The sequence below is a fragment of the Homo sapiens genome, chromosome 3, assembly GCF_000001405.40.
Source record: "Homo sapiens chromosome 3, GRCh38.p14 Primary Assembly".
Classification (NCBI taxonomy): Eukaryota; Metazoa; Chordata; class Mammalia; order Primates; family Hominidae; genus Homo; species Homo sapiens.
In genome coordinates this window covers 33,110,690-33,137,694 of record NC_000003.12, presented here as the reverse complement: position 1 = coordinate 33,137,694, position 27,005 = coordinate 33,110,690, and the positions used below count along the sequence as shown (strand labels likewise).

Here is a 27,005-nt window from a genome sequence, read left to right as displayed (position 1 = left end):
TGAAAACTTGTGCTTCAAGACACCATTTAGCAACTGAAAAGACAACCCACAAATTGTGAGAAAATATCTACAATTCATATATCTGATAAGGAACTTATAACTAGAATATCTAAAGAACTTCTACAACACAATAATAAAAAGATAAGTAACAATTTTAAAGTGGACAAAAGATTTGAATAGACATTTCTTCAAAGATATACAAATGGCCAATCATGAAGGGATGCTCAACATAGTCACTAAGAAGGTGCAAGTCAAGCTGGGTGCAGTAGCTCACGCCTGTAATCCCAGCATTTTGGGAGGCTGAGGCGGGTGGATCGCCTGAGGTCAGGAGTTTGAGACCAGCCTGGCCAACATAGTGAAACTCCATCTCAACTAACAATACAAAAAATTAGCTGGGTGTGGTGGTGCGCGCCTGTAATCCCAGCTACTAGGATGGCTGAGGCAGGGAATCACTTGAACCTGGGAGGCGGAGGTTGCAGTGAGCCGAGATCGCACCATTGCACTCCAGCCTGGGCAACAAGAGCAAAACTCTGTCTCAAAAAGAAAAGAAAAACAACAGAAAGTGGAAGTCAGAACCACAATGAAATACTACTTGCATCCACTAGCATGGCTATTAAAAAAAAAAGACAATATTAAGTTTTGTTGAAGATATTGCAAAGTTGGAACTCTCATACACTGCTGATGGGAATGTAAATGGTGCAGCCACTTTGAAAAACAGTCTGGCAGTTTCTCAACAGGTTAAACCATTACCATATGGCCCAGCAATCCATTCCTAGGTATGTACCTGATATGGTTTGGATATATGTCCCCTCCAAATCTCATGTTGAAATGTAATCTCCGGTGTTGGAAGTGGGGCCTGGTGGAAGGTATTTGGGTCAGGTGGGCGGATGCCTCAAAAATGTCTTGGTGCTGTCCTCATGATAATAAGTGAGTTCTCACTCTGAGTTCACACAAGATCTAGTTGTTTAAAAGAGTGTGGCATGCTCTTGCCATGTGACATACGCCAGCTCCCCCTTTGCCATGACCATAAGCTTCCTGAGACCTCACCAGAAGCCAAGCAGATGCCATTGCCACACTTCCTGTGCCACCATGCCCAGCTAACTTTTAAATTTTCTGTAGAGACAGAGTCTCACTATGTTACTCAGGCTAGTCTTGGGCTCAAGCAATCCTCCTGCCTTGGCCTCCCAAAGTGCTGGGATTACAGGCATGAACCACTGCACCCAGCCAGGTATTTCTTTACAGTGATGCAAAAATGGCCTAACATAATACCTATGTATATACTCCTAGGTATAAAAAACTGGAAAGCTTATGTTCAAACAAAAATTTGTACACAAATGGTCATAGCATCATTATTCAAAATAGCCAAAAAGTGGAACCAACCCAAACATCCATCAACTGAAGAATGGATAAACAGAATGCGGTACATCCAAAAGAAGAATATTACTTGGTAGTACAGAGGAAATTTTACAGGCAACATGTTCAACATGGCTGAACTTTGAAAACATATGCTCAGTGAAAGAAGCCAGTCACAAAAGACCACATACCCTATATTTCCATTTATATGAAATGTCCACAACAGGCAAATCCACAGAAACAGAAAGTAGATTAGAGTCTTCCAGGGGCTGGAGGTGGAGGCAGGAGTGGGAATGTTGGCCCAGAGGAGAAATGGGAAGTGACTTAGCTATGGAGTTTCTTTTGGGGGCAATAAAAATGTTCTAAAGTTAAATAACAGTGATGGATGCAAAATTTTGTGGATATAACAAGTACAACTGAATTGTATACTTTAAAAAGGAGAATTTCATTTTTTGTGAATAATATCTAAATAAAGCTGTTTTAGAAAAATATAACAAGAGAAACTGCTCACATAATAATATAAAGTGAAAAAGTCATGAGACATAATTATAGCTGAGTTTATAATAAATATGTAGAAAAACAAATTTAAAACTATAAAATTTTTTCTTTAATAATAAAAAAATGGAAAGATATATACCAAAATATCCATATTAGCTTGCCTCTAGATAACTGGGAACTCAACTTCTCTTACCTTTTCTAAATATATTTTTCTATACTTTCCTTTTTTTTTTTTTTGAGGCAGGGTCTTACTCCAATTGCCGAGTCTGGAGTGCAATGGCGCAATATCAGCCTCAAACTCCCCAGACTCCTTCAGCCTTCCAAGTAGCTAGGACTACGGGTGCACTCCACCATACCCAGCTAATTTTTTTGTATTTTTTGTAGAGACGAGGTTTTACCATGTTGCCCAGGCTGGTCTTGAACTCCTGGTCTCAAGCAATCACCTGCTTTGGCCTCCCAAATGCTGAGATCACAGGTGTGAGCCACTACACCCAGCCTCTGCTATACTTTGTAAACCACAGTGGCCAATCTTGTTGGTATCTGGCTGGTGTTCCTTCCTTTAGGGAATGGGGGAATGGCCCCTGTGGCATCTTGGGATCCTGTCTCAGGCTCTGCTTCAAGGATACCCAAACCAAGACATAGGCATTGCATCACTTTCCAGTTTAGAAAGCATTTCCACATGCAACACAGTATTTTATTCTCACAACCCTGGGAGGGCAGTATTATTATTCCCATTTTATAGATAAAGAACTGAGACTCAGTTGTTTAATGCCAGTGATGAGTTCATCCCATACATATTTATAGACAGAAAACAAATTCCACGAAGATGTCTTATTCAGAGGTACTTCACCTAAAACGGGTATAGGAAGAGCAGACCTGGAGGCTCAGGAAACTTGCTGGCCCCATGCTCCTCATCTATAAAGCGAAGGATCAGACCAGAGCAAGCTCACAGCTCTCTTCGAGCTCCAATAGCTGACAAGTCCCCAGCTTTCTCAGTAAGCATTTTCCAGTTTGTTCCAAACAAATACTCTAAATACTACCGCTAATGATGGCTTTTCTGTGACCAGACTCATCACAAAATGACCACTCCATAACCAGTTGAGTCAGGGTCAGAAAAGGGGTCAGCTGAGTAAGGTGGAATCAGGAATTTCAAGCAATTCTAGAGAATGACAAAATGCTTACAGTAAAGATGCAATTTAGAAAAAATAATAATAGCAATAGTCTAGCAGAAAAATTGGGGTGTGAGTATCCATGTCTCTTCAGAGTGCTGAGCAATTAAAAATTCACTGTTTTTATATAAAGTGAAAAGATGAAGAATGACCACTGTGAATTCCTGGAGTGTGGCCCCACACCCGTTTCGCTATCAGGAAATGTGGCACTCCTGCCTAGGTTTCCTAGAAAGCCGCTCTTTCCCATGCCAGCATTCTGACTGTCACTGAAACACCCACAGGAACTGTCTTTCTCAAGGTCCCCTCTGTTTCTTACTTCAGGGAGGACTCAGCCTTCCAGTGATTCTAGCAAAGATGTGAGTAATATTTTCTCGTAGCCACCAGACATGTGCTAAGCATGAAAACTTACCTCATCATCATCCATTATATTTTCCTTAGCAAAGTCATACAGCTCCTTCTGGAGTGTGGTCACATTAAAGAACTGAACTGCTTCCTGTTCAGACACAACAGAGAACAGTTTATAGGACCAACCTTTTCATCTTAGAACTGGGAGGAGGGAGGAACAGGATATGGGGTTTTTTCTAAGGTGATGAAAATGTTTAAAATTAGATAGTGGTAATGGCTGTACAACTCTGAATATACTAACAACCACTGAATTGTACACTTTAAAAAGGTGAATTCTATCCTATATAAATTATATCTCAATTTTTAAAAAAGAGTGGCCAGCCCTCAGTGGAAGACAAACTTATGAAAATCAAGATGGCATATAGAAATCCCAATGAAAATACAAGAGCAAAGATCAATTAGAAAAAATCTTTTGAAAGTAATATATAATGAATGGGGTTCACTGACAACACATGCTAAGTGGTGAGTTTGCCTATCAAGGGAATTAAATGATGGTCCATCCGCAAAAGAGACTACCAGGGAGCTGTTAAAGGATAATAATTAAGATGATACATGGATGTGACATGGAGAAATATTCACGACAAATTGTCAGAAAGACAAAGTTGCAAAAAGTTGTAAAACTATGTAAATATGACCTTGTTTTTATAAAAATACACAAATATTTACTATATATATGAGTAAATATATACCTTTAAAGCAGGAGATAAAGAGATGGCACAGGCTGGGCGCAGTGGCTCATGCCTGTAAATCCCAGCACTTTGAAAGGCTGAGGTGGGCAGATCACCTGAAGCCAGGAGTTCGAGACTAGCCCAGCGAAACCCCATCTCTACTAAAACTACAAAAATTAGTGTGATATGTTGGTGCACGCCTGTAATCCCAGCTACTCGGGAGGCTAAGGCAAGAGAATCGCTTGAACCCAGGAGGCAGAGGATGCAGTGAGCCAAGATCACGCCACTGCACTCTAGCCTGGGTGACAGAGCAAGACTCTGTCTCAAAAAAAAAAAAAAAGAGAGAGAGAAGGTGTAGGATTACGAGAGAATTTTGTTTTCCGAGAGAGAAAGAAGGTGTAGGATTATGAGAGAATTTTGTTTTCAAAGTAAAATATTTCTGTAATGTTTGAAATTTGTAGAGTTTTTACAGATTCAGAAATCAGAATGAAGCAGTAAAATGTTAAAACACACACATGCACAAAACTACAGAAAAAAATGACTTTTCCTTGATTTCCTTTTTTTTGGCGCAATCTCGGCTCACAGCAACCTCTGCCCCTGGGTTCAAGCGATTCTTCTGCCTCAGCCTCCCAAGTAGCTGGGACTACAGCCACGTGCCACCACGCCTGGCTAATTTTTGTATGTTTAGTAGAGATGGGGTTTCACCGTGTTGGCCAGGCTGGTCTCGAACTCCTGACATCATGATCCGCCCGCCTCGGCCTCCCAAAGTGCTGGGATTACAGGCATGAGTCACCGCGCCCAGCCCCTTTATTTCCAAAATAACCCTTTCTCTTAAGGCACGAGGTAGTCTCCAGAAGGCAAGAATGAAGAGAAAAGGGAAGGTGTGGTGCACCAGACTTACAGGTCTGGGCTGGAAGTGCTCATCCGAGAGGCCCCAAGTGTCCCTGTGGTACTGGTAATACACCAGGTTCTGCTGCATGACCTTGTCATTCTGATCAAAGAGCAGATAGCTGACTGCACAGGGGGCTGCATTCTTCAGGTCGTTCACTAGGGTTGGGAAGAAAAGACAAATGAAGAAATCAGCAAACCACACCCTATAATTTCTCTGCTTCTAAACAAAAAGGCCATATGAACAAGCCCCTTCTCCACAGTCCTTCTTCAGAGAGCCTGGGGCCGACTGGCAGCCCTGGGTGGGCAGGCCACAGATGGGGTCTCCACGGCAGCCTGGAGGCCAGGCTTGAAACTTAGTTCTAGTTAGGCACATGCCTATGGAGAAATGCCTATGTTCCACTTCCAGCTCTGGTGACCTGAGCTGGTCTCAGGTCCCTGGAAGCAGCTGGAAAAAGCTGGATTGTCCTGGGGCTGAGGGAGATAGGGAGGATGTGCTCAGCAAACAGGTGTCTCATCTGGGTCCTAGAGTGTCTGGATCCCATCTGGATGGGACCACAGTCTCCAGATCTAGGTTAGCTCCCCTACAGCTAAACCAGACCTGGAAAACCCAAAGGATGGTGGAGCCTCTGGGTTGGAGGGGATTTGGAAAGTCGCCTAGTTTTGCCACCTCCTGAGGTTGGAACTCCCACCTCCAGCCTCTCTGCTTGGTGTTGCCCACCTGTGACAGTACCTTCAGCATAGGGATTTTGCAGGGCTTGGGATTTGTCTTGGGAGTGCAGGATGAGGAAGAGGTGATGAGACACAAGCCCCTGGTATGTATTCTGGCACATTCCACTCTAATTTACACAACAGTACCTTTGCTAAAGCTGTGGTTGGCCGGAGAAGCCAAAGCTTGGGTATGAATAAATTGTGCCACCCAGTGGCTGTTTCCTGTAATGACTACTTTAAAGCCAGCTCTTAGGGACATTTACTCTTCAAATATAAATAATACCACCTGCCCTCAAGCAATGTAGCATGGTAGGTGGTCTAGAAAAAATTCAAAACGGGGCAGATTTTCAGGAAGCTCATTTCAGGAAGTACACTTCATTCATACTGTTGATCCCCGAAAGCAGATTTCCTGGGAAGCAGCAAGCATAGCTAGAGGCCTCAGTCCACCAGTGTTGATAAGTCTTTGCCAGTTTCTGATATGCAGGGCGATTTTCAGGGCACGTGAGGATTTCAGAGGCCCAGGGAGCTGCCAGAGCCCGCATGCATCCAGAACACTTCTAAATTCCTAGTGTTCTAGCTTTATACATTTAGAACCAAGCCATGCTCAGTGAGCTAGAAGACCTTATGGCTTTTTATATTTATATAATACATATTCTTTTTCTTTTTCTGACCTTCAGGGTGCAAGGCTTACGTGTTCTGAAGAGGATGGGAGGTGAGATAAAGAGGAACCCCCCCCCGCAAAAAAAAAACACAATTACCACAGTGGGAAAGGAGGGCTAAAGCCAAGATCACCTCTCTCACTCTTCCCAAGGCACCCTGAGACCAGCCACTCCTGAGTGTGAAGGGGCGACCCAGGGGATCTATTCTAGCCAGAAACCTGCCACCGCTAGACCCTGGCATTTCATTAGGGCAGAGGAAGTCCTACTGCCACTTTCCCTAATAATTCTTCTGTGCTTGGAACTGAACTGCCAAGGGACACACTGCTTGAACAAGTGGCACTTGGCAAAGTCAGGTACAGGGAGAGGAGGAAAAGCCGAAACACGCAGGCTCTGAAGTCTAACCCTGAACTTCCTTCTCTCCCACGTTTGCTTCCCATTGTCCACTAGAACGTTCTGATTGAGAAACTCCCATTTCAGATCAAGGGAGGACCAACTAGAATGAAACTAACAGGACGGGCGCAGTGGCTCACACCTGTAATCCCAGCACTTTGGGAGGCTGAAGTGGGTGGATCACTTGAGGTCAGGAGTTCAAGACTAGCCTGGCCAAGATAGTGAAACCACATATCTACTAAAATTACAAAAAATTAGCTAGGCGTGGTGGCACACACCTGTAATCCCAGCTACTCAGGAGGCTGAGGAAGGGGAATCACTTGAACCTGGGAGGCGGAGGTTGCAGTAAGTCAAGATCACACCACTGCACTCCAGCCTGGGCAACAGAGCAAGACTCTGTCTCAAAAAAAAAAAAAAAAAAAAAAAAAGAAAAGAAAAGAAAGAAAGAAAAAAGAAAAGAAAATAAACTCTAACAGTCTGAAAAGTAAAGCTAGTGATAAGGAGGAAGGGAAATAATGATAACAAAAACAAACACACAGTTTGCTATGTGCCAGTGTGGGAATACCCCAGACATTTCACATCTATTAACTCATTTACTCCTCAGGACAATCCTATGAGGTTAGTACTACAATCTCTATTCACAATGAGGAAACTAAAGCACAGAGAAGCTAGTAAGTGATAAGGCTGAAATCGAACCCAGGCACTGTGGTTACAGGCTCTGCCCTGAATCACTAAGCCATGCTGCCTTTTTGTGCAAAGCATAGCACCAGGGTTGTCAGTGGACCTTGATGAACTCTCAACAACCGTAGCTAAGAGTTATTACCTCTATTTTACAGTCTTAGAAGGACTAAGTGCCTCACCCAAGATGTCACAGAAGATTACTTACACTTATAATAGGCAAACTGCAAGTAATGATACATGGTAGCCACAAATTTCTCAACCGGATAGCCTCCTATAACTGGGGTGAGGTTCTCTTCACACTGTATTTTGCATTCCAGAACTTCTACATAATGATCTGAAACAAAACATATAAATTTTCAGAGCAGTGGATCCATTACTTTCTTAATATGCTACTGCCTCCTGCCCAAATGAAAAAGTTAAAAGAAAAATATTTACAGGCCGGGCGCGGTGGCTCACGCCTGTAATCCCAGCACTTCGGGAGGCTGAGGCGGGCGAATCACAAGGTCAGGAGGATCGAGACCATCCTGGTTAACACAGTGAAACCCTGTCTCACTAAAAATACAAAAAATTAGCTGGGCGTCGTGGTGGGCGCCTGTGGTCCCAGCTACTCAGGAGGCTGAGGCAGAAGAATGGCGTGAACCCGGAAGGTGGAGCTTGCAGTGAGCCGAGATCGCGCCACTGCACTCCAGCCTGGGCAACAGAGCAAGACTCCGTCTCCAAAAAAAAAAAAAAAAAAAGAAAAAGAAAAATATTTTCAACACCTACAAGGAGCTGAAAATCTTTAATATACAAAGTTGTTTCAAATCAATATGAAAAAGATGAACATCCACTATATAAATGGCCAAATGATATTAATAGAAATTATTAAAATGTCTAAAAAACATTGAGAGACACTACACCTCTTTTGTAATTAGGAAATACAATTACCCCCAAAATAATTTAAACTACCAAATTGCAAAAGTTTTACAAATTCATACTGTAGTATTAAGAAGAGAACAGTGAAACTTACACTCTCATATTCTGTTGATGGAAGCAAAACAGGAACAAACTTTTTGGAGAACAATTTGGCAAAATTTATCAAAGGTTAAAATACACATATTTTCCAACCCAGCTGTCTACTTCTAGGAAATTTTCTTTAGACACAGGCATACATAAACACTGTTTATAACAACAAACAAACAAACTTGTAAGTACCTAAATGCCAATCAATAGGATGAGGATTAATAAATTACAGTATATAAAAATAACAGAATCTACACAGCCTTTGAAAGAGAGTAAGGTGAACCTAAATATAGTCAAAGACTACAATTCCCATGCAGCTAGGTTGGGGCCATATGACTAGTCGTGGCCAATGACATGTTGAGAGTAACAATTAAGGAATGCTACTTCCAGGCCTAATCCCTAAAATCTCCCACATGATCCTTGGCTCCCTCCCTTTTCTCCCTTTATGCAGCTAGAAGCAAAAGACTCCAGAAGGGTTGCACACATTTCATAAGACTGTGGAGGAACAGGCACTTTCAAACATTGCTGGTAGGAAGTACAAAATGATACCTTAAAACACTAAAATTAATTTACAGAAACATTTACTCTTTGAACTATTATTTCCACTTTGGTTGACTCTGAAAACACGCCTCCATACTTACTACCATCACCAACAAAAAAGCCTTACATACTTACTACCACCAACAACAAAAAATTAACATCAACAATAAGGGTGCAAACAAACATCATACATATCTTGACGTGATATCCTGAGGAGGACATTTATATAGCGGTCCAGCCAAAAATACACAACCTGAATGTAACTGTGAAGACACATAATAGAAACCCAAATTGAGGAATGTTGACAAAGTAATTAGCCTATATTCTTAAAAAATATCATTGGCATAAAAAGACAAAGAAGGCCAAAGGATTGTTCCAGATTAAAGAATTCTAAAGGAAGATGACAAATAAATAGGAAGCATGATTCTGAACTGGAACCTGTACCAGGAAAAAAAAAGGTGCTAGAAAGAACATTATTGTGACAATTAACAAAAAGAGAATATGAACTACAGATTGAATACAAGCATTGTATCTAGTATATTAAGTTTCCTGAATTTAATTACTATGGATATTTAGATAATATTATTGTTCTTAGGAAATAAACTGAAGTATAATGGGGTAAAGAGTAATAATGCATGTGCAACATACTTCCAAATAGTTCTGAAATAAAAATAATTATACAGAGCTGGGTGCGGTGGCTCAAGCCTATAATCCCAGCACTTTGGGAGGGCAAGGCGGGCGGATCACTTGGGGTCAGGAGTTTGAAACCAGCCTGGCCAACACAGCAAAACGCTGTCTCTACTAAAAATACAAAACATTAGCCAGGTGTGGTGGCGCCTGCCAGTAGTCCCAGCTACTCAGGAGGCTGAGGCAGGAGAATTGCTTCAACCCGGCAGACAGAGGTTGCAGTGAGCCAAGATCGCACCACTGCACTCCAGCCTGGGCGACAGAGTGAGACTCAGTCTCAAAAATAAAATATAATAGGCCGGGTGCGGTGGCTCACGCCTGTACTCCTAGCACTTTGGGAGGCCGAGGTGGGTGGATCACCTGAGGTCAGGAGTTCGAGACCAGCCTGGCCAACGTGGTGAAACCCCGTCTCTACTAAAAATATAAAAATTAGCCAGACGTGTTGGTGCATGCCTGTAATCCCAGCTACTCGGGAGGCTGAGGCAGGAGGATTGCCTGAACCTAAGGGGCAGAGGTTGCAGTGAGCCGAGATCGCGCCGTTGCACTCCAGCCTGGGCAACAAGAGGGAAACTCCATGTCAAAAATAAATAAATAAATAAATAAAATAATAACAATAATAATTATACCCACAGCACATATGGAGAGAGCAATAAAGTAAATGTGGCACAATCAATGTTACAAATTGGTGAATCTAGGTAAGGTGTACATGAGAGTTCTTTGTATGATTCTTCCGACTTCTCTACAAGTTTGAAATTATTTAAAAATAAAAACTAAAGAAACTCTAAATATCTATATATCTATACTGTGAGAGGAAAATAAATCTCAGGACCTCAAAATCACTAAGCCAAAGGGAAAAGTCAAGCTGGGAACCATGTAGGACAAATGTGTTTCCCATCCTATTCCTAAATAAGATAGCTACAAAAATTTAAAAAAAAAAAAAAAAAGCCACAAATCTCTCTCATAATTTGCCCACAAGGAAGTTTTTGTGGACAAAGGACAGGCAGAACTCAGTCATCCCTCTGCTCACATGGAACAAATGTATATATGGTTGTTTCCTTTGCTCTGTTGTTTCACTAAGCCAGACTAAAGCATAAGTGACTATTCCTGCAAATTGCATATTCAGTGAAAGGCTAATCAGAAACTCAAAAGAATGCAACCATTTGTCTCTCACCTACCTATGACCTGGAAACCCCCTCCCACTTTGGGTTGTCCTGCCTTTCTGGACTGAAGCAATGTACATCTTACATATATTGATTGATGTCTCATGTCTCCCTAAAATGTATAAAACCAAACTGTGCCCTGAGTACCTTGGGCATATGTTGTTAGGACCTCCTGAGTCTGTGTCACAAGTACATCCTTAACTTGGCAAAATAAACTGTCTAAATTGATTGAGACTTGTCTCAGATACTCTTTGATTTACAATACATATATATCTTAGCTGTATCAAAGATAGATGGAGAGAAACCACAGACATTATGTGCCTCCTGATGAAAGAACTCAGCATCAACTATGAAGCAGTTGACTCCCACCAAAATTTAAAACCCTAAAACAAAATCAAACCGAGCCTGTTCAAGCCTCTACATCCAATTACCGATTTACAAGAAATACAGAAGACAGAGGAACATGGGGATACAGTCAGCAAAACCCAGACCATGGGAATCTCTACGGGACAAAAAATGCAGATTCTTCAATAGCAAAGGGGAAAAGATATGGCGGAAGAACCTATGGATTAAACGAGCCATAAAAGATAACCAACTTGCCACAATATGGATGAAACGAGGACATTATGCCAAGTGAAATGAGTCAGTCACAAAAAGGCAAATACTGTATGACTCCACTTACGTGATGTATCTAGAGTAGTCAAATTCACAAAGACAGAAAGTAGAAAGGTTGTTGCCAGTGGCTGGGGGGAAGGGGATATGGGGAGTTATCGCATACAGAGTTTCAATTTGGGGAAACATAAAAAGTTCTAGAGATGGATGGTGCTGATGGTTGCACAATCATGTGAATGTAGTCAATGCCACTGGAGTGTACATTGAACAATGGCTAAAATAATAAAGTTCATATTAACGTATATTTTACCACAATAAAAATTTTCAAGAGATAACCCATTGCAATGGATGGACCTTATTTGGATCCTGATTCAAACAAATGGTAAATTAAAGGCACACACATGTATTTATGACATTTCTGAAATGATTGGGACACTGTTTAGGTATTTAATGATGAGATCAAAGAATGATTGTTAAAATTCTTACAGGGGTAATAGTTTGGTGTTATGTTTAAAAAACAAAGAGTCCTTACCTTCTAAAGGTATATACTGAAATATTACAAATGAAATAATATGGCATTTGGAATCCGCTTCAAAATAACATGAGAGGAAAAGTAGGTGGGAATTAGAGGAAGCTCAAGTAGCCATGAGTTGACAATTGTGAAGTTGGGTCATGGGTACATGGTGGTTTATCTACTCTTCTCTCTGTTTTTTGTGTATGTTTGAAATTTTCCATAACAAGAAGTTTTCTTAAGGCAAAAAAAAAAAAAAAAAAAAAAAACCTACTTTGTAGAAAGAGATTAATGAATAAAAAGTGACTGAAAAAAAAAAACAAAACCGAAAACGCTGGATTCAATAACTTTAAAAGAGCTTCTCTACTGCAGGATTTCTAAGGGCCTTTAACCATTAAAGTGCACAATGATTCTTCAAGTGGGAGATGCAGTCAGTGCTCAGCCCATTCCCAGACTTATTTACAAGTACATAGACATGATACCTTTATCCAAGGTACAGTCCAGATTTTACTTATCTAGTGCTTTCAGGAAGGCACAGTTCTAGGATCAGTGTTCTCAAACCACTTTGGGAAAGAGCTTCCCTTAGCCATTTCCCAGTTTCTGGAGTGATGCTGCCCAGTAAAGCACTTGGGAAATGTCTAGGCACTATAGAGAAATCTGGGCTACCTATGTGTAGAGTTTTACATTTTCTTCCTTTCTTCATTTTTCCTTTCTGTGTTTTCCAAACTTCCTATAATGAGCACACATTGTTTTATAATCAGAAAAGAAAATTTCAAAAAGCTACCTTAGTGATGGCCACTTAAAGGTTCATTCTACCTTTATATGTGTTGGAAAATTGCCATCATCAAAGTTATCTCAGTAATGTGAGTCACTGAGGTGCTCCTGGGCCCATTTTTATTTTTCAAAATGACTGTAGGAAATCTGTAAGCAAGTAGGGCAGACACAGAATTCTACCTTGGCAGGCCTGTGCTTGAACCTTCTCTCAGTGATTTCACTAGAAGCCCCTGCCAAGTCAAAGGTTTATCTATGCAGGTGGTGACTACCCTCAGTTACCCGTTAATAAGTATGCTCAAAAATTCCTCAGAGGCTGCTCCAGGCATCTAGCAGGCATGCAGGCAGAAACCAGACATCTAAGGAAGACTATTCCATGGGAGTAGTGAGCCTATTGACCTACCACCAACCTGCTATGGAAAGGTAGAAATCCTTGAAGTCCTTGATCTCCCTGGAACCCTCGCAGGCTGCGAGACACTCGTAAAAGGCTTTGAAGAAGTCGGGAAGGGCCAGCTCCATGTCTGTGATGGATGTTCTCCAGTTCTCACCGTTGTATGCCCGCACTGCTCGGATGAACAGGCTCTGAAAGGCATGGAGAAGCCAGTGAAGCTCGCTCTTGGGCGTGAAGGGAGACAGTCATGAAATCTCAAAGGGAACCAAGACCACCACCAAGCTAGCTCTCATTAGCTCTGAAGAAGCCACACTGGCCCTTGAAGAAGTCAATCAGTGAGTTACTTTATATCTAGATTTTTCTACTTTGCTTATGATGGGTACATTTCTTATTTAGTTCAATTCAAAAAGTAGCAGGCCCTTGATAATAATCTGAATTAAGGAAAATGGGAAAACTATGACAGAGATCAGATCAGTGGCTGCCAGAAGTCAGGGGTTACAGCAAAAACTTGACTACAAAAGGACAAGAGGAAATTGTTCAGGGGTGATGAAAATATTCTATGTCGTAACTATGATGGCAGTTACAGGACTGGATGTATTTGTCAAAACTTACTGCATTATACACTTAAAATTGATAAATATATTGTATATAAATAGTACCTCAATAAAACTGGTTTTTAAAATGGAACGAAAAGAAAAATGTAAGTTTGAGAGCAGGTATATTAGTCTGTTCTCACATTGCTATAAAGAAATACCTCTAGCATGGCCAATATAGGGAAACCCCATCTGTACTAAAAATATAGAAATTACCAGGTGTAGTCACATGCTTGTAGTCCCAGCTACTCACGAGGCTGAGGCACAAGAATCACTTGAACCTAGGAGGCGGAGGTGGCAGTAAGCTGAGATTGTGCCACTGTACTCCAGCCTGGGTGACAGAGCGAGACTCTGTCAAAAAAAAAAAAAAAAAAAAAAAACCGAGACTGGGTAATTTATAAATAAAAGAGGTTTAATTGGTTCATGGTTCTGCAGGCTATACAGGAAGCATAGCAGCTTCTGCTTCTGGGGAGGCCTCAGGAAACTTACAATCACGGCAGAAGGCAAACAGGGAGCCGGCACTTCACATGGCCAGAGAAGAAGGAAGAGAGCGGGGAGGTGTTACACACTTTTAAACAACTAGGTCTCATGATAACTCACTCACTATCATGAGAATGGCACAGAGAGGATGGTGCTAAACCATTAATAAAGGATCCACTCCCATGATCCAATCACCTCCCACCAGGCCCCACCTCCAACCCTGGGGATTACAACTGGACATGAGATTTAGGTGGAGACACAGATCCAAACCATATCAGCAGGTGTCTGTCACCCCACTTCCTCCGACAATGCAGTTAAACAGAAGTGCCACCATGCATCAGCACTAGTTACTAGGAAGGGCAACCACATGCCAGATAGTGGAAACTTCAAGGACTTTCTGCTAATTGTTGATTAGACTCGATTAGAAGAGAAATAACAGGAGGCTGAGGCAGGAGAATCATTTGAACCCAGGAGGTGGAGGTTGCAGTAAGCCAAGATCGTGCCGTTGCACTGCAGCCTGGGCAACAGGGCGAGACTTCATCTCAAAAAAAAAAGAGAGAGAGAAATAAACTAGGACCAAGGAAGTAGCTTGGTCTCCAAGAAATAAGTAGAGATCCTGGATACACACAAAACCTGCTAACTTGCAGAGGCCAGGACAGGCCCTGAATAAGCATGGGACCCTCCATTTGGAGTTCTCAGCTGCTCTGGAATGGTGGTATCTGAGGGCACCCCTTAGACCTAGAATTTTCACCAAGCTTAAGGCCTCAGGTAAAGACAGTGGATTTTCTTCTTCTTTTTTTTTTTTTTTTTTTTTTTGAGACAGAGTCTTGCTCTGTTGCCCAGGCTCGAATGCAGTGGTGCAATCTCAGCTCACTGCAACCTCCAACTCCTGGGTTCAGGCAATTCTCTCTGCCTCAGTCTCCCGAGTAGCTAGGATTACAGGTGCCTGCCACCACGCCTGGCTAATTTTTTTGTATTTTTAGTAGAGACAGGGTTTCACCATCTTGCCCCAGCTGGTCTTGAACTCCTGACCTCGTGATCCACCCACCTTGGCCTCCCAAAGTGCTGGGATTACAGGCATGAGGACCGCGCCTGGCCGAGGGTGGATTTTCTTAAACCTCCTGGGCAGGCCACATGCCCTGGAAATAAGACAGGCTGAGAACTGAAGGAGCCTTTCCTGAAGAATGGGTCAATAAGTAGCCAACTCCAGACAGCTGGTTCTGCAGAAGCAGCGGGGCAGCAGCAGCAGCAAGAAGGACCAAGCAGAAAGAGGAGGCCCCTGATCACACAGGAGGGCAGCACAGCCACCCCAAAAGGGCTCCAGTGAGGGCCAACAGGACTAGCTGAATTCCAGATAAGCCCAGGGCACTGACCACACGCACTCGGCTTCGTTCCCCAAACCCTATGAAAACAACAGTGAAGACTATGAAAGGCATAAATTGCTTTTATGGGAGAATGGGAAGGGAGCAAGCAGCAGATGAGATTTCAACAACTTTTGGAAAGGCAGGAAGTGAAATAGTCACAAAGGAGGGGCCAGAGGGGAAGCAAGCTATATGTCCCATTGGCATGCGCAGGCATGAGGGACCACGGGAGGCTGGGGTAAGGCATGGAGCTAGAAGCAGGGCTGCAAGTTTGAACAGGCTGTTGGGGTCCTGGGTCCGCTCCCAGCACCTACCCACCCACCCAAGAGATCATATCTCCCAAAGCCACTCTTCACCAGAGAGTGGCAGTTTATTCTAGAGACTTTACCCATAAAGGCTGAGGAGTCAGGGACCAGACGTAGCAGAGGCCAAGTGGAGGCATGAGGCTAAAATCAGGAAGCAGGTGAAGTATTCCTACTCACCTGGGTGACCCTGTCCCTCTCCCCACACTGGTTCTCAGACACCAGCAGAGGAGTATGCGCACCCCACCAGCCCTGCAGAAGGCTGGTGAAGTCTTCCCTGGAAAACTGACAGATACCCCCAAAAAGAGACTTCCACACATACATTTTCCCTAGCAGTCAAAAAGTGAGCCTGAGATCTGATCACTCTACAGAAAACCCTGTGGTCAGGCCTTGGGAACTATAACTTCTAGTGGATATTTTCCACATATCCCCATTTTCTTTCATTTTTTTTGAGACAGAGTCTCGCTCTGTCGCCCAGGCTGGAGTGCAGTGGCGCAATCTCAGCTCATTGCAACCTCTGTCTCCCGGGATGAAGTGATTCTCCTGCCTCAGCCTCTCGAGTAGCTGGGTTTACAGACATGCTGAGTCACCACGCCCAGCTAATTTTTGTATTTTTAGTAGAGACGGGGTTTCACCATATTGGCCAGGCTGGTCTCAAACTCCTGACCTCAGGTGATCCATCCGCCTCGGCCTCCCAAAGTGCTGGGATTACAGGCATGAGCCACTGTGCCCAGCCAAATTCCCATTTTCAACAATGCCCTGCCCTTGCTTGAAACCCAGGCCCCCAGTGCCTGAGTTCCAGAAGACCTTGACAATAGTGAGTGCTCAAAAGGGCGAGATCGTTCTTTCTTATTGTTGTTCTTACGACTAATTCTCATCAAAACTCTTCTTCGTAGATGCGCAGATTTAAGTGTCCTCTACTCTGTCACATCAGCCTTCCTAACTCGTCTTCATTTTCTACCTTAATATATTTAGGGTGCGTTTGTGTGCAAGTGTGTATAAAAATATATGCCTTCTCATTTCATCAAAACTGGAGATTTATGTTTCTATTTCTTGTGTTCCTGGTCATTTTAGATGATTTCCAAGATATGTCTTTAATCTACCCTCTTAAAACTAAATAATTAAATGACCATATTTCTAAAATGTAGCATTTAAAGGGAACATGGCTTTTAAAATCATCACGGCATACAAAATATCATTATTAAATGGATCACTTTGTGCTAAAAGTCAATCATTTCTATTGTCATAATATTCAGCAAATGTCACCAAAAATCACTAGAGGTCCTTAGCTATCAGCAGCTGCTTATGGAGAGACATTTCTTTAACAGTCCAGGTTGCCACTAACTGCCACATAAAAATCCAAACATACTTCATATGACTTGGTTTCCAGGTCTTTAATGTAGTCCTCGGCACCAGGCAGGCTCTTATAATATGCCATGTTCCTCTTCATCATTTCGTCATCAGGATGCTTCAGTAGAAAGGTGTGAGCAGCGGCGATGGCTTTGGGGAGATTATTTGCCTAAAAGGACAAAGAACATAAAAGCTACTCCATGGATGCTAAGTGGTAATTTTTGTAAAACAAGAATATCTGCTTAGTCCTTCAGAAACTTTGTGTTGCTATAACTTTTCCAGCTAAAGGTTCCATGACTTCCAGGGCCCCTCAAGACCAAGTCCAGGCACTGTGAGACAAGTGCTGATTTCCTGAAAGCGACTGTCTGGATGGCCTCGGTCTGCCTTTCCCAATCTACTCTGCACTGGCTACATGCCCCAGGAGGCTGGCCTGTGTGGACTATAACAACAGACTCCCTCGCTCTCTGGCTTCCAAAGAGGTTCACCCATGAGGAGCCCCAGTAGATGACTGAGGAAGGGAAGAGAGTAAGGTCATGTTATTTCATTTCCTGGTTCCCTCCCTGCACAGTCCTCTTGGGCTGCTATGTCCCTTAATTGAAGATCACAGTTCTTCTCAAGGTGACCCTCTCCATAGAGTCTCCCTCCTTCCCGGTTTCAATCACTGCTCTCTCCCCTGCCCCTTTTGGCCTAGGGTTGGTCATATCCCACTGCTATCACCCCTGTGGCAGAACACTATCTCTTGTGGATTCCCCATGCACTGCACACACCTTTGTAAATAACCACCTTCTTAAACTTTCCTCCAATTACCCAATATGACTGCACCATATCTTTTCCACTGGCACCTTGACAAATATATTGTTTTCCCAAATCCCCCACAGACCTTCTGCTAACATTCTCAATGACTCCACCACCTCCTCACTTATTCATCCATTCATGCAGCAATAAACGTCATATTACAAGAGCACCATTTCTAGGTTGTGGGTCTATAACAATAAGCAAAACAGGAAAAAAAAATCCCCACCTGCATGGACCATATATTCTGTTAAGTTCTCCCTGTCTCCTAGTGGCCTCAATTAAGAGCCTCTCTGTTGGGCTAGTTCTGGGTTCTGTCTTCCCGCATTTTACGCCACCCTACAATCTCAGTGGTACGTCTATCTCCCCCATCAGACTATGATCCTCGGGGGACCCAGCTGTGTGTCATTCATTATCTGGATTCCTGGTGCCTCACACAGTCCTCAGGACAAGGCAGGACACAATAAGTATCTGTGATTTGAACATAATGACATTATGACCATAAAATATAATAAAATTAATTCACATTTTCCTCTCTTTTCCCCTCTGTCTTCTCTCCATTGAAGGGGCCAATGATTCTGAGTTTCACTGTCTCAGGGGAGGTAGATATCTGGTCAGAACCAGCAAATTATTCACTTGAAAAAAGCCTGCACTCACAAAAGAGCCTGACAGGTTTGAGGGGAGAAAGAAATTGGAGAGGAGCTGCAGGAAGAAGCTGACTGGCCTGGGAGAAGAAGAGGGAGAAAGGGAATCTCCCAGGCTAGGAAAAAAGTTTCCCTTGGGATCTGTGAGAGCAGCAGGGCTGCGGGCCCCGGAGCTTCAGGGCTGGCACTTATCGGCAGTGTTCAAGACGGCAGAAGTCCTCAGGAAGAACAGGTATGTTATGGCAGGACCTCAGGAGGGCAGGCAAATAAGGATGCAGAGGCCTCCCTGTGAGGACTCATGACCACCAACCAGAGGGCCCCCATGCTGATGGACTCTTGGCACAACCTAGTAGGGAGAAGGGCAGGCACCTGTGCATGTGCACAGAGACTCAGCCAATCCAGAGGGACGCTCCAAGGCGGGAATTAGGGAATTCGGTTTAGACAGAGAAAATAAAGGAATATTTGGTATACCCTAGACTTCTAAGAGTCATAGGATGGCATATATCGGTACCGAATTGCCCCAGAATTGGAACCAAGTCATTTTGAGACAATGGCAGTGGCCACATCAGAGAAGTGGTGGGTGGTGATGAGGGCAGACTCCCAGATGTCAATGCTGATGTTTTGGGAATGCCAATTAGTGGCTTGTGGCAGGGCTGCCTTTAAAACAGCCCTACAGAAAGCTTCACACTCCTGGCCAGAAAAAGGCTAGTCTTCAGCTGGAAGGAAGGGAGAGGGTATGAATGCTGCCTTTTAAAGCATTTGCCAGTGAAATTAGAGTCACTAATTCTCAGAACAGCACTTAGAAAGAGGGGCACAGAGGCCGGGAGCAGTGGCTCATGCCTGTAATCCCAGCACTTTAGGAGGTCGAGGTGGGTGGATCACGAGGTCAGGAGTCCAAGATCAGCCTGGCCAAGATGATGAAACCCCATCTCTACTAAAAAGACAAAAATTAGCCAGGCACAGTGGCAGGTGCTTGTAATCCCAGCTACTCGGGAGGCTGAGGCAGGAGAATCACTTGAACCCGGGGGGCGGAGGTTGCAGTGAGCCAGGATCGCACCACTGCACTCCAGTCTGGGTGACACAGTGAGATTCCGTCTCAAAAAAGAAAGAAAGAAAGAAAGAAAGGAATAGAAAGAGGGGCACAGAGTAGGATTTTTAAGGCTTCTAACTTAGGATGTTTTACAAAACGGAATCTCTTCCTGAAGAGAAAAGAGTGATTTTATTTACTTCAACTCAGGCTCTGCAGCTGGAACATGGAGACACATCTTGGCTACCAAACCTCTGACAGACCCCAGGCAGATTTTGGAGAAGGTGGTAGGGATGGAGGGAACCACCTTGCCTTGGGTTCCTGAGATACAGCCACCAGCATGAGCCACCCTAAATCAGCCATGACACAGAGGCAGGCCCTGTGGTTCCGGGGAGTTAGAGGCCACAGCCAGGCAAGGCCTGGGGTTAACAGTGCCTGTGAGTCAGTGTTCTCTGTCCAGGTTAGAGCTCAACAGTCATTAAGGATTTGATGAAGTGCTCCGGCCTACTTTTTGCTTGGCCTATGAGAAAAATGAGTTTTTCGTGGAAGATGGTAATTGTGGAGAGAACCCAAAGAAAGCTAATGACATGGACCTAGAGTAGGCTGGTGACGAGAAACCTATGATGCACCTGAGGCTGCACACCAGTAGCACAGCCCTTTTCTACAAGAGCACACATCCAAACCTCCTCGCCTCCCTCTGGCAGTCGGAACCCACCATTGCTATTCCAGTGATCAATTGAGGCATTTCTCCTTAATCACTGAAACAGAGAACTGCAACTCAGAACAGCAGAGTAACATTTATCCATGTCCTGCCACAGCGCACTATCTACCTTCATATCGACCTCCAGCCTTCAGGTGCCAGGTAGAATGTATGTGCCTGCCACCCATCTTTTCCTCTCTATCCATAAACAGAGTTTAAACACGTAAACATCACTTTTTTTTGACACAAGAGTCTTGTTCTGTCACCCAGGCTGGAGTGCAGTGGTAAGATCACAGCTCACTGCAGCCTTGACTTTCTGGGCTCAAGTGATCCTCCAGCCTCAGCCTCCTGAGTAGCTGAAACTAGAAAGGCACGCCACCACACCCGGCTAATTTTTTAATGTTTTTGTACAGATGAGATCTCATTATATTGCCCAGGCTGGTCTTGAACTCTTGGACTCAAGAGATCCTCCCACCTTGGCATCCCAAAGTGCTGGGATTATAGGCATGAGCCATCATGCCAAGCCATAAACATCATTGAGAAAAAATACACCATACAATATCTCCACCAAAAATTACTTTTTCAGTTATATCTTCCATTGAAACAATTAAGTAACATTCACGTTTATTAATAAAATTCTTAGCTTTTTCCTGCCCTATATGAGATCTCAAAATGTTAAGATGGTGGCCGGGCATGGTGGTTCAAATCCCAGACTGTAATCTCAGCATTTTGGGAGGCCAAGGTAGGTGGATCACTTGAGGTTAGAAGTTCGAGACCAGCCTGGCCAACATGGTGAAACCCCATCTCTACTAAAAATACAAAAATTAGCTGGGTGTGGTGGCACATGCCCGTAATCCCAGCTACTCAGGAGGCTGAGATACAAGAATTGCTTGCACCCTGGAGGCAGAGGTTGCAGCGAGCTGAGATCGTGCCACTGCATTCCAGTCTGGGTGACAAAGTGAAACTGTGTCTCAAAAAAAACAGATAGATAGACAGATAGATAGATAGTATTTTACTGACTTTCAACTAAGTGATTGTTACAAGACCTGTAAAGGGTTTTGAAGAGAAGCTATGACCATCCTAACCTTTTGGGGCCACCATGATGAAAGAGAAAACCCATGCCTTTTGGTCACATTGAGTAAAATGTTCTTCCCCTCTTCCCTGTAACACTTGTTCAAATTCATCTGTATATTAAAGAAATCAGAGGTTCTAGTATTCTCTAGGTTTAAAAATAAAATGATTTCCTCTTGATTATGTGACCTAAATTTGGTTCAGAACATATTTGCCAAAAGCTATACAAAAAAAGAATTAGATAAGTCATTTTTAGCTTAAAAAATGATGCTTTGTATGAACCAGCCCTCATTTTCAACATTCTGGAATTTTATTAATCTCATTCCCTGCTTCTGTTTTAAAACTGTTTTTTTTTAATTGCCAGAACAAACATTCACAAAACTGATACTTTAAATAAAACTGTAACTAAGCATAGAAGTATAGAAGTAACCCAGCTTTTCCCCTCTTTGGGGTTTTGTGTTATTTTATTGCTCATATAAATACAATATACACGTGGCTCTGTCTCGGTGGAAATCTGAAAAAACAGATCTTGCAGTCCAGAAACTGAAAACAAAGTTTAAAAACAAAAACCTTCTACCTCAAGAGTCTAGGATATGCCATGAATCTATTTTTGTAGTAATTTTAAAAAACACAATATATTCCTTTTAAAATCTTTCTCAGAGAAAGTAGAAACTGGGCTTTGAGAGGGCTCTTTTAGCCAAACCCTGTGAGGACCCACCAAGCTAGAGCCTCTTTATCTAGTGACAGGGAATCTAACCATTCTTAAAACTTGTGGGTCCTCGGAGTGAGAACCCATAGGATAGAGAACTGCAATTTGTGGCTATTTTTAGCCAGCAATCACAGAGAGAACTTAAGCAGCCATTAAAAGGAGGCAGTGAACTGTGTTAAATTCTAGATGAAAGAGAGAAACAGCGGAGAGGGCCAATCCTGATGACTCACGGTGCACGAGTTCCCCTTTAAGCAGGGATGTGTCCTTGCAAGGAGTCCCTGCCCTTCCCTGGCCTCAATTTCATCCTCTTTAAAAGGAACTAGTCAGCTGGGTGCAATGGCTCACGACTGTAATCCCAGAACTCTGGGAGGCGAGGTGGGAGGATCACTTGAGTCCGGGAGTTCGAGATCAGCCTGGGCAACGTGGCGAAACTCTGTCTCTACAGAAAATACCAAAAAATTAGCTAGGTGTGGTGGCGCGCGCCTATAATCCCAGCTACTCAGGAGGCTGAGGTGGAGGATCACCTGAGCCTGAGGAGGTCAAGGCTGCAGTGAGCCATGATAGCGCCTCTGCACTCCAGCCTGGGCGACTGTGAGACCCTGTCTCAACAAAAAATAAAAATAAAAGGTACTTGTCGGCTCCTCAGGTCTTCTGCTTTATTATCGCAAGTCACCGCTCACTTGAGAAAAAAGGCGACTTTAATGGTATATACAGAAAAGAGGCGTCTGCCCTCAAATAACAGAGAACATTTATCAGGCACTTTGTTGGGTGCCTGGCGCTGTACTGCGTTCTGTGTACGTATTCTCTACCTTAGAGTTACCCTTCAAGAAAGGCATTTTCATCTCTAGTTGAGATGAAGAAGGAGACAGGACTTGGAGGAGACCTTTGGCAGGGCTGGATGGGAGGGAGCCAGGTCTAGAACTGGAGGGGCAACGCGGCCCCGGGCGCAGGGGCGGGGCTAGGGCCTGGAGGCTGGGTCAGGGGCGGGGCCGGGGCCTGGGACGGGGCGAGGCGGACTTGCCTTGAAGTAAGCGAACTGCAGGAACTTGTAGGGCTCGCGGCGCTGGAAGTCCGCCAGCACCTCGCGGCTGGGCTGGGACTGGCGGAAGGCTGGCAGGCCCTGCTTGCAGCGCTTGAGGCAGTGCGCGCGGCGCAGCAGGCCCCCGAAGAGGCGCAGCTCGGGATAGCTGGCGAGGCCGGCGGCGGGCTCGGGCTGCGGCGCGGCGCTGCAGTTGCGGTGGCAGAAGGCCTCGCTGTCGCGCAGCAAGCGGTGCAGCCGCAGGCTGATCTCCAGGTAGCCCACGCTCTCGGCCCAGTGCTCGCCGCTGTACTTGTCCAGCGCGTGCCGGTAGGCCGACTCGAGCGGCATCAGCTCGTCCCGTGGGAAGCTGCGGAAGCTGTAGCGTTCGTATTGGGCGCGCCCGGCGCGCAGCGCGCAGGCCACGCACAGCAGCGCTAGCAGCGCCGCGGCCCCCCGGCGCCCCGGCTCCATCGCGCCCGGCGAAAGGAAGGAAGGAAGGGACGAAGGAAGGGAAAAGGGGAGGGAGAAGGAAAGGAAAGAGGACGGTGCGACGCGGCGGGCCCAGTGCTTTCGGGGCGGGGACGCCAGCCTCCGGCCCGCCCCGTCCGGCCGCCCCTCCCCACCCAGCCGGGGGATCTGGGCGCCAGCTGCCAGCACCTAGAGGGTGCCCGGGAAAGGCGCGCTGCGCACTGGTTCACGCAGGCTGATGCGCATGATGGGACTCTGCCGCTCATTCACTTGGAGACCCGCCTGCAAGGCCGACGCGGCCCTAATAGATTATATACATCGGCCCTACGGTCTATATAATCTACGATCTTTATATTCGTTTGGAGGTTTGTGAAAACGAAGATTCCTGGGCTGTGCCCCCAGAGTTTCTGATTCAGAAAGTCTGGGGTGGAGGTCTGACGATTTGTGTGTTTAACCAGCACCCTGATGAGGCTAATGCTGCGGGCCCAAGGGCCGCACTTTTAATAGCACTGCCCAACCTTAAATTTTAGTGAGAGAAAAAGACAGTGCAAAAATAAAATTAATAAGGATGTCAGCACTTTGTAAACTGTATAGCTAGTCAGGTTGAAGATGTGCACACCTTATGAATCTGCAACACCATTCGGTGGAATATGCTGGAGAAGCTTGCGCGTGTGCATCAAAAAATATGGATGGAATGTTAATGGCAGCACTTTTAAAAAATCTTTAAACTTTTAAATCTTGAAATAATTTACAAGAAAGCTGCAAAAACAGTACAAAAAGTTCCTATATACCCTTCATCAAGATTCACAAGTTGCTAACGTTATACCACATTTCTATCTTTACATTTTTTTCTGACTCATTTGAGATAGGTTGCATGTATCAGGCCCACTGTCCGTTAGTCTTTTTTTTTTCTTTTTTTTTTTCCTTTTTTTTTTTTTGAGACGGAGTCTCGCCCTGTCACCCAGGCTGGAGTGCAGTGGCGCGATCTCGGCTCACTGCAACCTCCGCCTCCCGGGTTCAAGCAATTCTCCCTGCCTTAGCCTCCCGAGTAGCTGGGATCATAGGCACACACCACCATACCTGGCTAATTTTTCTATTTTTTACTAGAGATGAGGTTTTGCCATGTTGGCCAGGCTGTTCTTGAACTCCTGACCTTAGGTGATCTACCTGCCTCTGCCTCCCAAAGTGCTGGGATTACAGGCGTGAGCCACCGTGCCCAACCCCTTAGTCTTTCAGTATGTATGTCCTAAGAATGAAACTACCAGACAATCAAATTTAGGAAATTTAATACTGATAGAAGACTTTAATCATGTTCCATTTCCGGTTATGTCAGCTGTTCCAATTATGTCTTTCATGGCACTTTTTTCTCTTAGGATGCAGTCCATCCGTGATCACTGTTACATCTAGTCTATTTCATATCCTTTAAACTGGTTCCTCGGCTTTTCTTGTCATGCCGTTGTCATTTTTGAAAAATATAGGCCAAAACAGCAATGAGATACCACTACAAAATCCAAAACACTGACAACGTCACATGCTGACAAGGATGTGGAGCAACAGGAACTCTCATTCATTGATAGTGGCAATGCAAAATGGTACATACAGTTTAGAAGACAGTTGGGCCGTTTCTTACAAAACTAGGCATACTCTACTCATACAATCCAGAAATTGCACTTCTTGGTATTTACCCAAATGGGTTAAAACTTATGCACACACCTGCGAATGGATGTTTGTAGCAACTTTATTCACAATTACCATAACTTGGAATCAACCAAGATGTCCTTCAGTGGGTAAGTGGATACATAAACTGTGGTATATACACACAATGGAATTTTATTCCAAGCCAAAAAGAAATGAGCTATCAAGCCATGAAAAGACATGGAGAAGTCTTAAATGCATATTACTGGTTGAAAGAAGCCAAACTGAAAAGGCTACATACTGTGTGATTCCAGCCAAATGACATTCTGGAAAAGGCAAAACTATGGAGACAGTAAAAGGATCAGTGGTTGCTGAGAATTATGGAAAGGGAGGAATGAATGGGTAGAGGACAGGATTATTGGAGCAGTGAAACTATTCTATATGATAGTATAATGGTGGATATATGCTATACATTTGTTAAAATCCATAATATGTACAACACTAAGAGTGAGCCCTAATGTAAACCGGACTTTGGGTGATAACGATGTGTTGATGTAGGTTCATTGATTGTAACAAATGTACCATTCTAGTGCAAGACATTGACAGTGGGGGAGCTTGCGCATGTTGTAGGGTCATGGAGTATATTTGAACTCTGTAGTTTCCGCTCAGTTTCGCTATGAATCTAAAACCACTCTAAAAAATAAAGTCTTTTTTTTGTTTTTTGTTTTGTTTTGAGATGGAGTCTCGCTCTGCTGCAGAGGCTGGAGTGCAATGGCATGATCTCAGCTCACTGCAATCTCCACCTCCAGGGTTCAAGCGATTCTCCTGCCTCAGCCTCCTGAGTAGCTAAGATTACAGGCCCGTGCCACCATGCCAGGCTAATGTTTGTATTTTTAGTAGAGACTGGTTTCACCGTATTGGTCAGTCTGGTCTCAAACTCCTGACCTCATGATCCACCTGCCTCGGCCTCCTAAAGTGCTGGGATTACAGGCATGAGCCACCGCGCCTGGCCTTTTTTTTTTTTTTTTTTTAAAGAACACAGGCCAGTTAACTTTATAAAAAGTTCCTCATTTGAGGTTTTCCTGATGTTTCCTCATGACTAAATTCAGATTAAGCTCATGACTAAATTCAGATTAAGCTCATGACTAAATTCAGATTAAGCTCTTTGGCTAGAATGCCACAGAAGCAATGTGCCATCCGTCTCAGGTGTAAAATCTAAATAACACAATGCCCACCCCTTGTCTGTGTTAATTTTGATCACTTTATTAAGGTGATGTCTGTTTTCCCTACTTCATTTGTTTTCTTTTGTAATTAACAAGTGTCTACAGTAAGGTAACGCAACATTGTTCTTAATGGCAGAAAGCAGGAATAACCTGTCCATAAACAGAAGAGTAGATTTAAAAAAAAATGAGAGTAAATGCATATAGAAGAATATATTATAGCAGGGAAAATGAAAGAATTAGAGCTACAAATAACAGTTCAATCTGGGGGCGGGGGGGAACCATTGAGAATGATTCCATTTGCCTAAAGTTTTTTTGTTTGTTTGTTTTTTGTTTTTTGTTTTTTTTTTTTTGAGACAGAGTCTCGCTCTGTCGCCCAGGCTGGAGTGCAGTGGCGCCATCTTGGCTCACTGCAACCTCTACCGCCCGGGTTCAAGCGATTCTCCTGCCTCAGCTTCCCGAGTAGCTGGGATTACAGGCACCTGCCACCACACCCAGCTAATTTTTTTTTTTTTTTTTTTAAGACTGAGTCTCAC

At 43.9% G+C, this 27,005-nt stretch overlaps 1 protein-coding gene across 4 annotated transcripts in view, besides 7 other annotated features; it reads right to left on the bottom strand.

Annotated features, from left to right (window-relative positions):
- CRTAP (cartilage associated protein) overlaps positions 1 to 23,681 on the bottom strand; it is a 33,760-nt gene extending 10,079 nt beyond the window's left edge. The window contains exons 1-6 of one of the 4 annotated variants that reach the window (NM_006371.5): positions 23,147 to 23,681; positions 17,202 to 17,351; positions 13,116 to 13,287; positions 7,628 to 7,756; positions 4,995 to 5,140; positions 3,430 to 3,513 (exon numbers count right to left, since the gene is read on the bottom strand). In NM_006371.5, the coding sequence (NP_006362.1) occupies positions 3,430 to 3,513; positions 4,995 to 5,140; positions 7,628 to 7,756; positions 13,116 to 13,287; positions 17,202 to 17,351; positions 23,147 to 23,617 (1,152 nt within the window). In that variant the 5' untranslated portion in view covers positions 23,618 to 23,681. The remainder of the gene's footprint in view (positions 1 to 3,429; positions 3,514 to 4,994; positions 5,141 to 7,627; positions 7,757 to 13,115; positions 13,288 to 17,201; positions 17,352 to 23,146) is intronic. The other 3 variants (NM_001393363.1, NM_001393364.1, NM_001393365.1) reach the window with 3 other exon arrangements.
- Positions 3,329 to 3,398: an enhancer, noted in NCBI's record as "active region_19647". NCBI's record gives its function as "activates an Ori minimal core promoter by ATAC-STARR-seq in GM12878 lymphoblastoid cells {active_cell/tissue: GM12878}" and the evidence as "EXISTENCE:reporter gene assay evidence [ECO:0000049][PMID:35858748]".
- Positions 5,956 to 6,005: an enhancer, noted in NCBI's record as "active region_19646". NCBI's record gives its function as "activates an Ori minimal core promoter by ATAC-STARR-seq in GM12878 lymphoblastoid cells {active_cell/tissue: GM12878}" and the evidence as "EXISTENCE:reporter gene assay evidence [ECO:0000049][PMID:35858748]".
- Positions 21,247 to 21,395: a silencer, noted in NCBI's record as "fragment chr3:33157792-33157940 (GRCh37/hg19 assembly coordinates)". NCBI's record gives its function as "represses an EF-1alpha promoter that drives an FKBP-Casp9 reporter gene in an ReSE screen in HepG2 liver carcinoma cells {active_cell/tissue: HepG2}" and the evidence as "EXISTENCE:reporter gene assay evidence [ECO:0000049][PMID:32094911]".
- Positions 21,979 to 22,970: an enhancer, noted in NCBI's record as "H3K27ac hESC enhancer chr3:33156217-33157208 (GRCh37/hg19 assembly coordinates)". NCBI's record gives its function as "activates a minimal SCP1, AML or CMV promoter by ChIP-STARR-seq in naive H9 embryonic stem cells {active_cell/tissue: H9 hESC(naive)}" and the evidence as "EXISTENCE:reporter gene assay evidence [ECO:0000049][PMID:30033119]".
- Positions 22,922 to 23,111: a silencer, noted in NCBI's record as "silent region_14184". NCBI's record gives its function as "represses an Ori minimal core promoter by ATAC-STARR-seq in GM12878 lymphoblastoid cells {active_cell/tissue: GM12878}" and the evidence as "EXISTENCE:reporter gene assay evidence [ECO:0000049][PMID:35858748]".
- Positions 23,552 to 23,851: a silencer, noted in NCBI's record as "silent region_14183". NCBI's record gives its function as "represses an Ori minimal core promoter by ATAC-STARR-seq in GM12878 lymphoblastoid cells {active_cell/tissue: GM12878}" and the evidence as "EXISTENCE:reporter gene assay evidence [ECO:0000049][PMID:35858748]".
- Positions 25,851 to 26,060: an enhancer, noted in NCBI's record as "active region_19645". NCBI's record gives its function as "activates an Ori minimal core promoter by ATAC-STARR-seq in GM12878 lymphoblastoid cells {active_cell/tissue: GM12878}" and the evidence as "EXISTENCE:reporter gene assay evidence [ECO:0000049][PMID:35858748]".